At 50.3% G+C, this 14,147-nt stretch overlaps 1 long non-coding RNA gene across 1 annotated transcript, besides 2 other annotated features; it reads left to right on the top strand.

The window, feature by feature from the left end:
• Nucleotides 6,957-7,802: an enhancer, noted in NCBI's record as "NANOG-H3K4me1 hESC enhancer chr22:23773427-23774272 (GRCh37/hg19 assembly coordinates)". NCBI's record gives its function as "activates a minimal SCP1, AML or CMV promoter by ChIP-STARR-seq in naive H9 embryonic stem cells {active_cell/tissue: H9 hESC(naive)}" and the evidence as "EXISTENCE:reporter gene assay evidence [ECO:0000049][PMID:30033119]".
• LINC01659 (long intergenic non-protein coding RNA 1659) lies at nucleotides 9,281-10,788 on the top strand. The gene is made up of 3 exons (NR_110538.1): nucleotides 9,281-9,778; nucleotides 10,277-10,447; nucleotides 10,541-10,788. It is a non-coding gene; the product is annotated as a long intergenic non-protein coding RNA 1659 (long non-coding RNA).
• Nucleotides 11,369-12,060: an enhancer, noted in NCBI's record as "H3K4me1 hESC enhancer chr22:23777839-23778530 (GRCh37/hg19 assembly coordinates)". NCBI's record gives its function as "activates a minimal SCP1, AML or CMV promoter by ChIP-STARR-seq in primed H9 embryonic stem cells {active_cell/tissue: H9 hESC(primed)}" and the evidence as "EXISTENCE:reporter gene assay evidence [ECO:0000049][PMID:30033119]".

Consider the following 14,147-nt stretch of genomic DNA (forward strand, 5'->3'; position numbering starts at 1 on the left):
AATGCAGGAAGACTCCTCACTAGATTCCCTCACACATAACACACGTGCACTCTGAGCTGGGCGCTAGAGAGACACGGCCTAACAGAACACGAAAAAGATACTGTTGTCCTTGCCAAGGTCCTCACTACTTAGCAGAAGCTCTTGCCCTTCCGCTTCCACCTTTCATCAAGTTATAAGCCAACAGTCTCACTTCTTCTCTCTTCTTTAATCTGATTTCTGTCTTCCCTTTCTTTTTTCTTTTAAGAGACAGGATCTCACTCTGTCACCCAGGCTGGAATGCAGCGGCATGATTATAGCTCACTGCAGCCTCAAACTCCTGGCCTCAAGTGATCCCCCCGCCTCAGCCTTCTGAGCAGCTGGGACTATGAGTGTATACCACCATGCCCGGCTAATTTTTAAAATTTTTGTAGAGACAGGGTCTCACTATGTTGCCCAGGCTGGTCTCACCTGGCCTCAAGCAATACTCCTACCTTAGCCTCTCAAAGTGCTGGGATTACAGACATGAGCCATTACACCCAGCCTTTTCTTTTACTTTTTTTTTTTGTTGAGACAGTAAGGTCTTGCTCTGTTACCAAGGCTGGAATGCAGTGGTGCAATCTCCACTCACTGCAGCCTTGGCCTCCCAGGCTCAAATGATCCACCTACCTCATCCTCCTGAGTAGCTGGGACTACAGATGTGCAACACCCACACCCGGCTAATTTTTGTATTTTTCTGTAGAGACAGGGTTTCACCATGTTGGCCAGGCTAGTCTGGAACTCCTGACCTCAGGTGATCTGCCCGCCTCAGCCTCTCAAAGTGCTGGGATTACAGGCGTGAGCCACCACACCTGGCCTCTTTTTTAAAACTGTGGCAACCATCTCTCCTCTGTTGAACTCGCCAATGAGAAAAAGTCAATGGGGCCAGGCATGGTGGCTCACACCTGTAATCTCAGCAGTTTGAGAGGCTGAGGCGGGCAAATTGTTTGAGCCCAGGAGCTCAAGACCAGCCTAGGCAATGTGGCAAAACTCCATCTCTACAAAAAATGTAAAAAATTAGCCAGGCTTGGTGGTGCACGCCTGTAGTCTCAGCTACTCAGGCGGTCAAGGTTGCAGTGAACCATGATCACGCCACTGCACTCCAGCCTAGGTGGCAGAGTGAGATGCTGTCACAAAACAAAACAAAACAAAACAAAAGTAATCAACTGCAGGGTTTGGGGTGACAGTTTCCTGGTCATTCCTCCCAGTTTCTTGGTGTCTTTATAGCTAGAGATGGCTAAAGGCCACCCGCAAGAAAACAACTGAGGCCCATGGGGGCAGGATGCTGTTCTCTCCACCGGAGCAACCCAACCACTTGGGTATCTGACACCACCCATCACCCCCCCAACTCCAGGGGATCCGAGCTGAATTCTGAAGAGTGGAACCAAAGATGACAGAGTGCGTGGCTGGAGAGAGGGGGAAGTCCACAGAGTTTAGGTAAATTTCTGAACCACATCCCCACCACGCCCACAATGTACTGCATTGAAGTACACTGGAAGCTAAAGACCAAAAAGGAATCAGATTTTCAGCTCTGCCACCTAAAGCAGAAACTGAGGGCCTTATTCACCTTCAACTCTGCCACCTAAAGCAGAAACTGAGGGCCTTATTTACCTTCAACTCTGCCACCTAAAGCAGAAACTGAGGGCCTTATTTACCTTCAACTCTGCCACCTAAAGCAGAAACTGAGGGCCTTATTTACCTTCAACTCTGCCACCTAAAGCAGAAACTGAGGGCCTTATTCACCGCACAGACTTTAGCCCAAGTGCCATGCCTCCAGTTTCACAGTTTCACCAGCAGCTCAAGCAAATGGCCTGGACACTAAAGATGGCCTCTGGGTCAGAGTATCACTCATTTCCTCTGTCCACAAACCACTTTGATTCTCTTTGATTCTCTCTGTCCCTCATCTCCCCATCTAGTCTTTTTTTTTTTTTTTTTGAGACAGAGTCTTGCTCTGTCACCCAGGCTGGAGTGCTGAAGTGCAGTGGTGTGATCTCAGCTCACTGCAACCTTGGCCTCCTGAGCTCAGGCAATCCTCCCACCTCAGCCTCCAGAGTGGCTGGGACCACAGGTGCACACCACCACACCCAGCTAATTTTTGTACTTTTTGTAGAGATGGGGTTTAGCTATGTTGCCCAGGCTGCTCTCAAACTACTGGGCTCAAGCAATCTGCCCACCTCAACCTCCCAAAGTGTTGGGATTACAGGCATGAGCCACTGCACCCGGCCCATCTGGTCTTATTAAATACTTCATTCTCTGCAAATGCAGATGTTTTCTCAGCTCTGATTATTTTTTCTAAAGTAATGACCCTCCACCTGGCTAGACAAATGCTTCTAGCAAAGGAAAAGACCAGGGTGTGAAAACTGTACTGCAATAGAACATAAAGCCCGTCCAACCCCCACCTCCCATCAGACCTGGGGTGGTGGCAGCAGCAGGCATCGGGGCTCTCAGGCCTGCCCATTAGTCATCCCTAAGGCCTGTTAGCACACAGGTTAGGAGGAGCACACACTCTGGAATCAGAAAGCCCAGGATTGAGCCCAGCCCTGCTTTCAGTTAAGGCTTTGTCAGTCACTATCACTCCCTTGACCTAGGACCTCACAAAACCTTGTCATCTGTAAAACTGGGGATAATAAGTTCTACCTTGAGTGTTATTGTGAGGAATAAATGAGGTAATGTCTATGCAGCACCTAGCACAGATTCCTGCAGATAAACACTCAATAAATGTTAACTATCATCCACTATCTAGTTATCAGAAAAGCACAATGATATTGTATCTTTAAGTCCTTCCACTTCCAAAAAAAAGAAAGAAAGAAAGAAAAAGATGTGTGGATTTTTTTCCCCTAAAGGTATCAGTGAAGTGAAATTTAAGAAGGAAAACCTGGGCCGGGTGCAGTGGCTCATGCCTATAATCTCAGCACTTTGGAAGGCCAAGGTGGGCGGATCACCTGAGGTCAGGAGTTCGAGACCAGCCTGACCAACATGGTGAAACCCTGTCTCTACCAAAAATACAAGAACAGCCAGGCGTGGTGGCGGGCACCTATAGTCCCAGCTACTTGGGAGGCTGAGGCAGGAGAATCACTTGAACCCAGGAGGCAGAGGTTGCAGTGAGCTGAGATTGCACCACTGCACTCCAGCCTGGGTGACAGAGTGAGACTCCATCTCAAAAATAAATAAATAAATAAATAAAATCAACTTTATGGAGAAAAATTTACATTCAAGAAAATATGCCCATTTTAAGTGTCCAACTGGATGAATTTTCAGAAATGTGTGCACCCGCATGACCACTTCTACAATCGTGATACAAAACATCTCCATAAACTTAAATCCCTGTAGCCCTTTGCTGGCAGTTCCCCCACCCACCCCCAGGAAACCCCTGATCTGCCCTCTGTCACTGTAGGCTAGTTTTGCCTTTTCCAGAATTTCATATAGAGGGAGTCATGCAGTATGTACTCTTTTGTAGCTAATGTTTTTGAGATTCGTTGGTGTTGCTGCATTGTTTTCTACTGCGGAATAGTATTCCCTTGTACAAATGTACCATAATTTGCTCATCTACTCTTCTGTGGCTGGACTTTTCAGTTTGGCGCTAATATGAATCGTGGAGGCAGTTTTAGACCAAATTTAACTTAACAATACAATATGGAGTGATTAAGTCAAGCTAATGAACATACCTGTTACCTCACTTATTTGGCATTCTTTTATGGTGATACACCAAATTTCCTCTTATTTTGAAATATTCGTTATTATTGACTACAGTCTCCTGCTGTGCAATAGACCTCAAAACTTTTTTCTCCTGCTTGGCTGAAACTTTGTACCTTTTGAAGACGAAGTCTCCATTCCCTTGTTCTACCACCTTGCCAGCTCTGGTAACCATCATTCTTCTACCTTCTACTTCTATGAATTCAGCTTTTTTTTTCTTTTTTTTTTTTTTTTGAGATGTTGTCTCGCTCTGTCGCCCAGGCTGGAGTGCAGTGGCACAATCTCAACTCACTGCAACCTCCGTCTCCTGGGTTCAAGTGATTCTCCTGCCTCAAGTAGCTGGGATTACAGGAGCCCACCACCATGCCCAGCTAATATTTGTATTTTTAGTTGTTAAGGAGCTGGTTCCTGGGGCCATTTGTGGTGCAGGGTTTGTTGTTAAGGAGCTGGATCCTGGGGCCGCTTGTGGTGCAGGGTTTGATGGGGAAGACAGCCCCATCTTCCCCGCTTTTTTCTTCATCACTCTAAGTTTTATCAATTTTTTTATCTCTCTCCTTTCAGATCTGTCAGGTTTTGCTTCCTATATTTTTAATCCCTATTTTGGGGTACATATGCAGTTAAGATTGTTATATCTTCTTGATCACTTGCAATTGTAATTATAATTATGCAATGTCTGTCTTCATCTCTTAAATATTCTTGTTCTGAAGTCTGACTTGAGTAATATTAATATAGCCACTCCTGCTTTCTTACAATTTTAATATTTATATATACGTATCTATATTTCTAATCTTTTAATCTACCTGTGTCTGTATATTTTAAATGGATTTTTTGAAGATAACATCTAATTGAATCTTGCTTTTTTATTCAGACTGATAATCTATGCCATTTATATTTAATATAATTTTTATGACATTGAGTTTAAATCTGCCATCTTGTCATTTGTTTTCTTTTTGTCTCGTATATTCTTTTTTTCATTTTTCTTGCCTCTTTTGGGCTGTTTTTTGGTATTCCATGTTTTCTCCAACATTGGCTTATTAATTATACCTCTTTGGTTTTCTTCTGTTTTGGTTTAGTTATTGCTCTAGGGCAAGGGTCAGTAAACCTTTCCTGTAAAGAAACAGGTATCAAATATTTTAGGCTTTGGGAGCCATACTGTCTGTGTCACACCTCTGCTGTTGTAGCACAGAAGGAACTGTTACATAATGAGCTCAGATGTGTGCCAGTAAAACTTTATTACAAAAGCGGGCGGTGGGCCAGAATTGGCCCATGGGCTGGAGTTTGATGACCCCAGCTCTATGTCAGTCTATTTTCAAATAATCTTACACTAGTTAACATAGAGCATTTTAAAAGTATTTTTCCATTTTTTCTTTTTATGTAATTTTTGCACAAAATTTTTTTTGTGAAATTATGTTTTCACTTTAGAGAGTACATTATCTTCTAAATTAAAATGATTCAAAAATGCTTGTTGAAGTGTATTCACGTATTTAAATACATGAACTGTATTCACGTATTTACTGCTTCTGGCAGTAGTGTTCCTTCCTTTGTGTTGATCCAGATTTCCATCTGGCTTTTTTTTTTCTTTTGCAGGAAGCACTTCCTTAACATTTCTTATATTGTTGTCCTGCCACTAACAAATTTTCTCGGCTTTTCTTTGTCTCAAAATGTCTTTATTTCATCTTCATCTTTAAAGGATATTTTCACTGGATATAGAATTCTGTGTCGACAGTCATTTTTTTTAAGCATCTTAAGAACGTTTGTTTTGTTGTTTTCTGGCTTGCATGGGTTCTGACAAGAAGTCTGCTAGTAGTCTTATCTTTGTACTTTGTATATAATATACACCCCACCCCCAGCTGATTTTCTTTGTATTTATCCTGCTTATGGTTCATTGAGCTCCTTGGATTTATGGATTTATAGTTAGTCAGATTTGGGAAATTTTGGCCATTGTTTCTTTAAGTATTTTTTCTGTTCCCCTCCCCTTTTTCCAGTACTCCAGTTTTACATATTTTAAGTCACTAATATTATCCTAATTACTGAAGCTTTGTACTTTTTGTTTTTTGGTTCTCAATCTTTTTTCTGTGCTTTAATTTGGATAGTTTCTGTTCCTGTCTTTAAGTTCACTGACCTTTTATCCTGGAGTATCTAACCTGCCCTTGATTTCATTCAGTGGAGTTTTAAAATTTCATTTGTTTTTCATGCCTAAAAGGTCTATTTGGTTATTTTTTTCATATCTTTGGTTTCTCCTTCATTTTTGTAGTCTGTTGCTACGTAACAACTTTCTCCAGAAGTTAGCACCTAAAACAGCAGGCATTTGTTGTCTCGTGAAGTTTTTGAAATTCAGGAACCCAGAGCAGTTTAGCTGGATGGTTTTGGCCCAGATTCTCGTCAGAGGGTGCAGTTAGGGGCTTTTGTCCTGGGTTGCAAAGCTGAAGGCTTGACAGGGGCCAGATGATGTGCCCAAATTCATTTAGGTGGCCCTTGGCAGGAGACTTCACTTTCTCTCCATATGGACCTCTCCATAGGTCTGCTTGAGTGTCCTCACAACATGGCAGCGTTCAACGCAGAGTGAGTGTTGAATGAGTTAGGAAGAGACAGACAGAGCCAGCCCAAGATGGAAGCTACAGTGTATTTTATAACATAATCTTGGAGTTGATCTACTATCACATCTGCCTTTTTTTTTTTTTTTTTTTTTTTTTTTTGAGACAGAGTCTTGCTCTGTCACCCAGGCTGGAGTGCAGCAGCACTGTTATAGCTCACTGCAACTTTGAACTCCTGGGCTCGTGATCCTCCCGTCTCAGCCTCCTGAGTAGCTGGGACTACAGGTGCACACCACCATGCCTGGCTCTGCCGTTTTCAATTGATCATGTAGGCCAACCTTGGTATGATGTGGGAGGAGACAGCACCAGGGTGTGACTGCCAGGAAGCAGGGTCGCTCAGGGCCATCCTGGGAGCTAGCAGCCATCCCCTTCACTGTGTTCAGGTTTTCCTGTAAATTCTGCAGCATATTTATAATTGCTGTTTTAAAATCCTTGTCTGCTGATTTCATCATTTCTGGACTTATTTCTATTGGCTGAGTTTTCTCCTAGCTATAGAACACATTTTCCTTTTTTTGCATGCTTAGTAATTTTTGATTGTATGATGGTAATTGTTAATTTTATGTTAAGTGTATGAAAGGGTGCAAATTTCCTTGTTCTTTCTTTGAAGAGTATTGGGCTTTTTCTGGCAAGCAGTTAAGTTATTTTGGGGTCAGCTTGATCCTTTCAAGAACTGTTTTCACACTCTCTTGGGGCTTGTATGGATTTGCTTTTATTCCAGGGCTAGTTTAACTCTGCTACTAAGACATGACCCTTCTGAGGTTCCTAGCAGATGACCTGGGTGCTCAGCAAGAACACTTGCTCTGGCTGGTCGGCATGTGCCTGTCCCCGGTCCTGCGTGACCTCTGGAGTTGTTCCCTGACAGCTCCCCGATGTGCTTGGTTCAGCCTTGTGGAGTTGCATGCTGTGTGCGTAGAGTGTATTACTCAGCAGCTCAGCGAGACCTTTCTCCAGGTTGCCAGAAGCCTTCTGTGCACAGCTCCGCCCTCCACAGATCCTCCCTTCCTCTCAGCAGGACCATCATGCTGAGCTTGAGCTGTACCCCACGGCGCCAAGCCTGGAAGAGACCACTGGGTAGAGCAAGGGGTGTTCAGAGGTTCACTTCATTTGTTTCTCTGTCTTTAGACAGCCCAGTGTCTGTGAACAGTTACTGTGTGTATTTTGTTCATTTTTCTAGTTGTTTACAACATGAAGGCAGACCTGGTCTCAGTTGCCCAGCATGACGTCCCAGATCCACATGTGAGGAGGAGCAGCAGCATGGGGGTTCCGCTGCGAGCTCAGGGCAGGGGTCTGTATTCCAGGAACTTGGGTGGGCTTCATAGACCCCTGTCGTTCCCAGAATTATAGGCAGCACGGAGTGTGCTTGTGCACACTTTCCTGGGTGGAGAGGCACACGGCACCTCACGCATTGAAGCGTTGTGGCCCCTCGGGGAGTTAAGACCCAGTGGGAGGAGGACCAGGGCGGGGGGCCTGGAGATGGAACCGCACCTTCCCATGCTGCCTCGCTAATTCTACAAATACTGTTGACATCCTGTGCGTGTGGCCTTGGGCAGAGGGGTAAAGACCGGGCAGCCCTGGCAGGGGCTCTGGGGCCAAGGATGTCACCTTCTGGGGGTAAGAGCGAGATGTCCTTCCAGAGCCTGGGTTTTGAGAGGAGGTCACCCTGGCCTGGTTAGGATGAGTTGTCATCTTTTAGCTTTTGGTTTGGTTTCTGTTTGTGTTTATTTTCACTTTTTGCCATGGAAAGTTTTAAGCATATATATAAAAATATGGAAAACAGCATCGAGAAGTCCCTGTGAGCCCATCCCACCCTCTTCCCCCTTCCTGGATTATTCTGAAGCAAATCCAAGGTATCGTAATCAATTTAGCTGCAATCATTCAAGTATTGTAGCATGTGTCTCTGAAAGGCTGGTGACTCCATAAAGCCCTAACCAGAGTCCTTTTATTGTGGTAGGACCTGGTCTCGGTGGGTGAGGACAGTGGGGAAAGGGGCAGCGTCCAGCAGGGTGACCACCTGTGCGAAGGAGAAGAGAGACAAAGCACCTGGTGTTGGACCAGACAGGGGGCTCAGGACCTTGGGCTGCAGTTGACCACGTGAGGCCCTTAGCCTCCAGAGAAGGAGCTGGTTTAACATGACCCATGGTTGTGGAGACCTTGCTTCCTAGGTGGGGCTGCCGTGCCCCTACCATCCTCCCACATAAGCACGTTACAGAGATCTGTGGAGCCAAGGGGCTAGTTCACCAAAATAAGACCTGGCCGTGTCCACCACTCTGCTGGTCTGGCTGGGGCTGCCGTCACAGAGCCCCACAGCGGGGGCTGAGACCGCAGATGTGTGTCTCACACAGTTCTGGAGGCTGAAATCTGAGATCAAGGGTCACCGGAGTTGGCCCCTGGGGAGGACTCTCCTCCCGGCTTGTGGACGGCCGCCCCTTGTATTCCTGTGTGGCCTTTCTCCTGTGCACTTGGAGAGCTCTGGTGCCCCTGCTGGATCAGGACCCACCCTTATGACCTTCATCAGACTTGACTTCCCTCCTTAAAGGTCCTATTTCCAAATACAGTCACATGGGGATTAGGTTAGTATCTAAATTTGGGGGACACAGTTCAGACTGTAACAGTTGCTCTGCACAGCCCCGCTCGGTTACATCATAGATGTTTGCACACATCTGTGCACGTGAACTACGTGTTATCTGTTGCACATGCAGCGTTACTAAACAGGGTTCCCTTATACCTCCCGGGGTTCTCGGAGTGGCGTCTTCTCTTTTGCTGGGAACCTTGCCGCCTTTCCTCTCCCTGCCCCTCCCAGCCCGTGGGCCACCTGCTCTCTTCCACGCCTTCCTTTCTCCTCTGCTTGTGCAGCGGAAGGTTCTGCCAGCAGGGGAGTTAGTGAGCAGCCAGTGGAGGGTGTGCCCAGCCTTCCTGCTGCAGACCCGCCCCCAAGTCAACACGGACTTCCCTCCCTGCGCGCCAGAACTTTGCGTTGTTCTTAGTGGCATCTGGGGTCGAGGAGGGCGACTGTCAGCCAGTTGGGGGATGTTTTCTTCTTGGTCTCTCGGCTTCTGCTTCCCTGTGAGCTGGGCAGCCTCAGCCCAGGTCCTATCCGGTACTCAGCTGGCCTCGGTGTGCACAGCGCAGGCTTGAGTGCAGCCGTGGGGGCGGGCGGGGCAGAAGCAGGGCCCCTGGGAACAGCTGAGTCTGAAGGGTCAGAAGCCACGGCCCCTGTGGGGGGCTCTGGGGCAGCCAGGGGAGCTGCTCGTTAGTCGTCTCTGGGGCAGAAGGAAGGGACCTTCACCTGGGTTGGGACTGGGCCTGGGTCCCCAGTCTCACAGGGAGCTCGTCCTGATTGTACCTGCCCGGCTGTGACGGCTGAGCCCGGGCTCCTGGAGGCAAGGCCACCTCAGGCCTCCAGGGCCGGAGCCGCAAGGAGCTGCTGGGTTTCCACAGGGCCACGGGGGCTGCGGCCACACGGAGCGGGAGCACAGGTGGGAAGGGTGTCTGTGAAAAATGAAATCTGTTGCCGCTTCCTCTAGCTTAATTACTGGCATGGTGGTTGCAGAGTTGAAATGCAGCTTTAAAAGCCTTTGTGAGTAATTAGTGTCAAACACACAAGATCTACAAAGCCATAAACTCACAGCTTGGTGATATTACCAAGTACTAATTAAGAAAGAAAAAAGAAAATTCCCTTTCATGATCAAATTTTGAGCCCTGCCAAAGATGAAAAACAAGGCAATTTGCAGCCGATGGCGACGCCGGAGGGTAAGTGGCGTCCACAGGAAGATGGCGGCCGAGCGCGGCGAGCAGGCAGGGTCTGGTTGAGGGCTGGGGTGGTGACGGCGTGATTGTGCCTGGCTACCGGGTTCTCAGCCAGGCAGCACCTGATTCCCAGGAGAGATGGAATCCCAGCTCAGAAAGGGGAGACTCATGCGAGGGCAGAGGCAAGGCACCCGCCCAGAAGGATTGGGGGTCTCCCCATTTCACAGGTGGGGACACTGAAGCTGAGCTCACAGCCAGGAGAGGGACAGCAGAGTGACGGCCGAGACCATCTGCACTGCGAGGGAAGCAGCGCCCACCTTCCTTGGTGGTCCGGGAAGGCCGGACCGGCCCCTTGGGTCCCCACTGGCCTCAGCCACTGTGGGCTCGTCCAGCTTCAGGTAGGCGCCCGGCCACTCACCTGGGAGGCTCTGAGAACGACAGCTTCTGTCTCGTGAGTGACGTGGTGCCCGCTTTCATCCTGGGGCCCACAGCTGCCAGGAGAGGCCAGGCCGAGGTCAGGAGGCTCAGCAGCTGGTTCCATGACTTCCTCTTCGCTGAGGAGGTCAGGACAGAAGCTTCTAGATGACAGGCCGCCCAACTTGGTATAAAACAGCAAATTTCTGTGCCTGTGCTGTCGGGCTGTGAATGACTTCTCGTCTGTTTCATGAGATGCAGCTTCAGCCCAGGGAGCCATCAGATGCAGCCGGGCGAGACGCGGAGCCAAGAGCTGTCCTCGCCCCCCATGTGAGTGACTGGAGAGACGAAATTCTCAAAGTCTTGTCACTTACGGGGATATTTTTAACCCAGGACCAGGGAAGCACAGCTCTCATTGGTGGCCGAGTGCTCTGGCGCTTGGGCAGTGGGCAGCAGCCAGGTTATCGGGACGTGCTCAGGCCCAACAGGACCCCCAGAGCCGCACCTGCCCCCCACAGAGTAGAGCCGGCCCGGGAGCGGCCTTGGTCACATCTAATCCCACCAGCCGCCGACAGTGGAGAGCTGTGCCTGGCCCAGAGATGTGGGCATCACATCCAGGCTGCAAACACACGGGGACCACCTGGCCCCGCCAGGGTTCGCTCTATCCTGGCTTGGCCTGCATGGCCTCTCGCCGTCTGCATGGTCCACTCACCCGAGTCAGGGCTGGGGCATGCAGGGAGTGTGCAGTGACATTGGGCAGAGGGAGGCTGCTCAGGTCCAAGTAGGCAGAGAAACCGCATGCCCAGGCCGCTAAAACCTTGAACTGCAGGAGCCCTGAGCTGCTGTTGCTGTTTTATTGTTTTGTTTTGTTTTGTTGTCAGATGGAGTCTCATTCTGTTGCCCAGGCTGGAGTGCAGTGGTGCGATCTTGGCTCACTGCAACCTCTGCCTCCCGGGCTCAAGTGATTCTCCTGCCTCAGCCTCCCGAGTAGCTGGGATTACAGGCACCCGACACCATGCCTGGCTTTTTTTGTATTTTTAGTAGAGACGGGGTTTTGCCATGTTGGCCAGGCTGGTCTCGAACTCCTGAGCTCAGGTGATCCATCTGCCTTGGCCTCCCAAAGTGCTGGGATTACAGGTGTGAGCCACCGCGCCGGGCTTGTTTTACTGTTTATGACGCGGCTCTGCTGCCGCTAGGACAGATACTTGTACAGCCCGATTCAAAGACTGTGCAGAGGCGTCTCCCAGATACCCCAGGGTGCACTGCAGTCAAGGAAGGCTGCCTGGAGGAGGTGGCCTGGAGCTGGGGCTCACAGGTGAATTAGAGTTTGTCTGGCTGGGTTGGGGAGATGTTTCTGGCCTCAGGATCTCACGTGCTCATGCTCACCGGCTCCAGGGCACCCAGCGTGCAGGGAGAGCAGAGGGGTAGGCCTCGGGCTCCAGGCCAAAGTTGGGGAAAGAGAGTGTCAGACCTGGGCTTGGGGGACGACTCTGATGTCGTCCTCATGGGGGATGGTTGAGTAAAGGGTGGGGTGTGGCTCACTCGTCTGGCCCTCGCCCATGTGGAATGCCCACCGTGCTGGGCCCCGCTGCAGGTGCTGGACGCGCAGCAGTAATGCGGGGGTCCTGCTCCGCCTGGGCACATCTTCCAGCAGGGATTGGAGGGCCGATGGCCAGGCAGGGTCTGTGCTCTGTGTCTAGGTGGTTACGGGGGGAGGCGGGGAGCCTGGGCCTTGGCTGTGGGTGGACCTGTGGCTTGCTGACCTGGTGCCCAGCTGCCCCACCTCCCAAACTGTGAGAAGCCAGGACCAGCCCCATCCTCCATCCAGATGGTCTCTGACGTTGCCCTGGGAGCCGGGGGGGAGGGGTGGGGGATGTTCTAACTGAAGGGCCTGGGCGGCCTAGAGCCCTTCTGTATCTTCTGGCCAATGGTTTTATCTGGTCCACTGCCTCCCAAGCCTGCACATCCCATCACGCGCATTTAAACTGTTAAAAAGTTACTCCCTTGACTAAGCCGGAAATGCTCTCTATGGCCCTGTGGATCTGCGTCCAGTTCCCCACGACATTCCGTTTTTGGAGGCTTTGTGAAGAGGCTGGGGGTTTGTCAGCCCCACTCGGAAGCGAACAGGCTGGTTCCCCGCCCCAGTCCCAGCTTCTCCTGCGGGCAGCTGGCCTGAGAGCCAAGCACTCCCCAGGCCATGGCACCGGGTGGGCAGGACGCTTTCCTGCCAGGCAGGAGGCAGAGCCCTCCCTGGGACCCCGAGTGTCTGTCCTGGGTGGGGACTAGACAGTGACCACCACCTCGACCCCGGGCAAGCCCACCTAGCCCTGCCCCCCCACCAAGCCCTGCTCCACCTACACGAAGCTGCGGCCAGCCCCTTTTGCCCCCAACCTAAATGACTGAGAAGTCTGTTAGGGAGGGCCTCCCTGTCACTCTAAAGAGCAGGAACAGGACATCCCTGCCCCAGGGCACGGAGGCAGCTGGCCATCTGCGAGTGGGACCCGCCACGGTTGGCCAAGCTCAGGCCATATGAGCTGGGACTGGCAGGCAGTTCCTGGCTGCCTCAAATCTGGGGTCCAGACTCTCTGCTGACCTCCCAGAGCCCGGCGTGTCTTTGCACACTCTGTCCTTGTCCCCAGCCTCCTCCCCGCCCCAGGGTGTGCCTGGGACTTTAGGTAGTCTTACCTGTCAGTCATACTTTCTTCTCGGCCAGGGACTGTGGACGGCAGGACGTTCACCCCGTGGTCAGTGGCTGGGCCTTTCTCATGAAGCAGCTTGATTGAGATGTCATCTACAGAGCGTGCAGCCATCATCACAGTCTATCTTGGAATGAATGCCTTTATCACCCTGGAAGGAAACGTGCCCCATAGCCATCCCCTCCCAGCCATCGGCAGCCACTGTCTGTGTTCTGTCTCTAGACTCCCCTACCGGCAGTGTTGCAGGGAGATGGGCTCAGCGATGAGTGGTCTCTGGCGTCTGGCGTCTTTCACTGAACGTAAGGTTTTCACGGTTCGCTCACATTGGACCACGTGCTGACGCTCCATTTGTTACTGATGAATCATACAGTCTAGTGTGTGGATAGACCATGTTGTTTATCCGTTCATCCATTGATAGAACATTTGAATTGCTTCCGTTTAGGGCTATTACACACAGTGCCGCTGTGAACATTCGTGTACAAGCTTGTGTGTGGAAATGCATTTTTGTTTCTCTCGGGTGTACACCCATAAGAGGAAGTGCCGGGGTCACGTGGTAATTTAACGTTGAGCTTTGTAAGGAGCTGCCTCTTCTCCCAGGTTCTCCCCGTCCTCCCCAACACGCGCCACTGTCTGCTTTTATGATGCTTTTCCATCCCAGGGGCTGCGGGTGCCGCTGGGTTACAGGGTCCGTGAACCTCCTGAGATTCAAATGCAAAATGTGAAGTGGGTGTTGGCGTGGGTTTCGGGTAGAGGGACTGCAGCCCCTGCACGGGGTTAGGAATATGTTTCCCAGTCCAGGCAGAGCTACGCAGGAATCGCCTCTAGACACCCAAGAGGGAGCAGTTTTGTCTGGAGAAGTAGCCCACTGCCGTGTTTCACCAGGCTGGCCTGTGATAGCTGGACCTGCCCCGATGCCACCACCTCCTCCTGCCAGGGCTTCCCTGTTTGCTGAGTCTGCGTTATTGATGAGTCATCGTCTATATACACG

The sequence above is a fragment of the Homo sapiens genome, chromosome 22 (genome assembly GCF_000001405.40).
Source record: "Homo sapiens chromosome 22, GRCh38.p14 Primary Assembly".
Taxonomy (NCBI): Eukaryota; Metazoa; Chordata; class Mammalia; order Primates; family Hominidae; genus Homo; species Homo sapiens.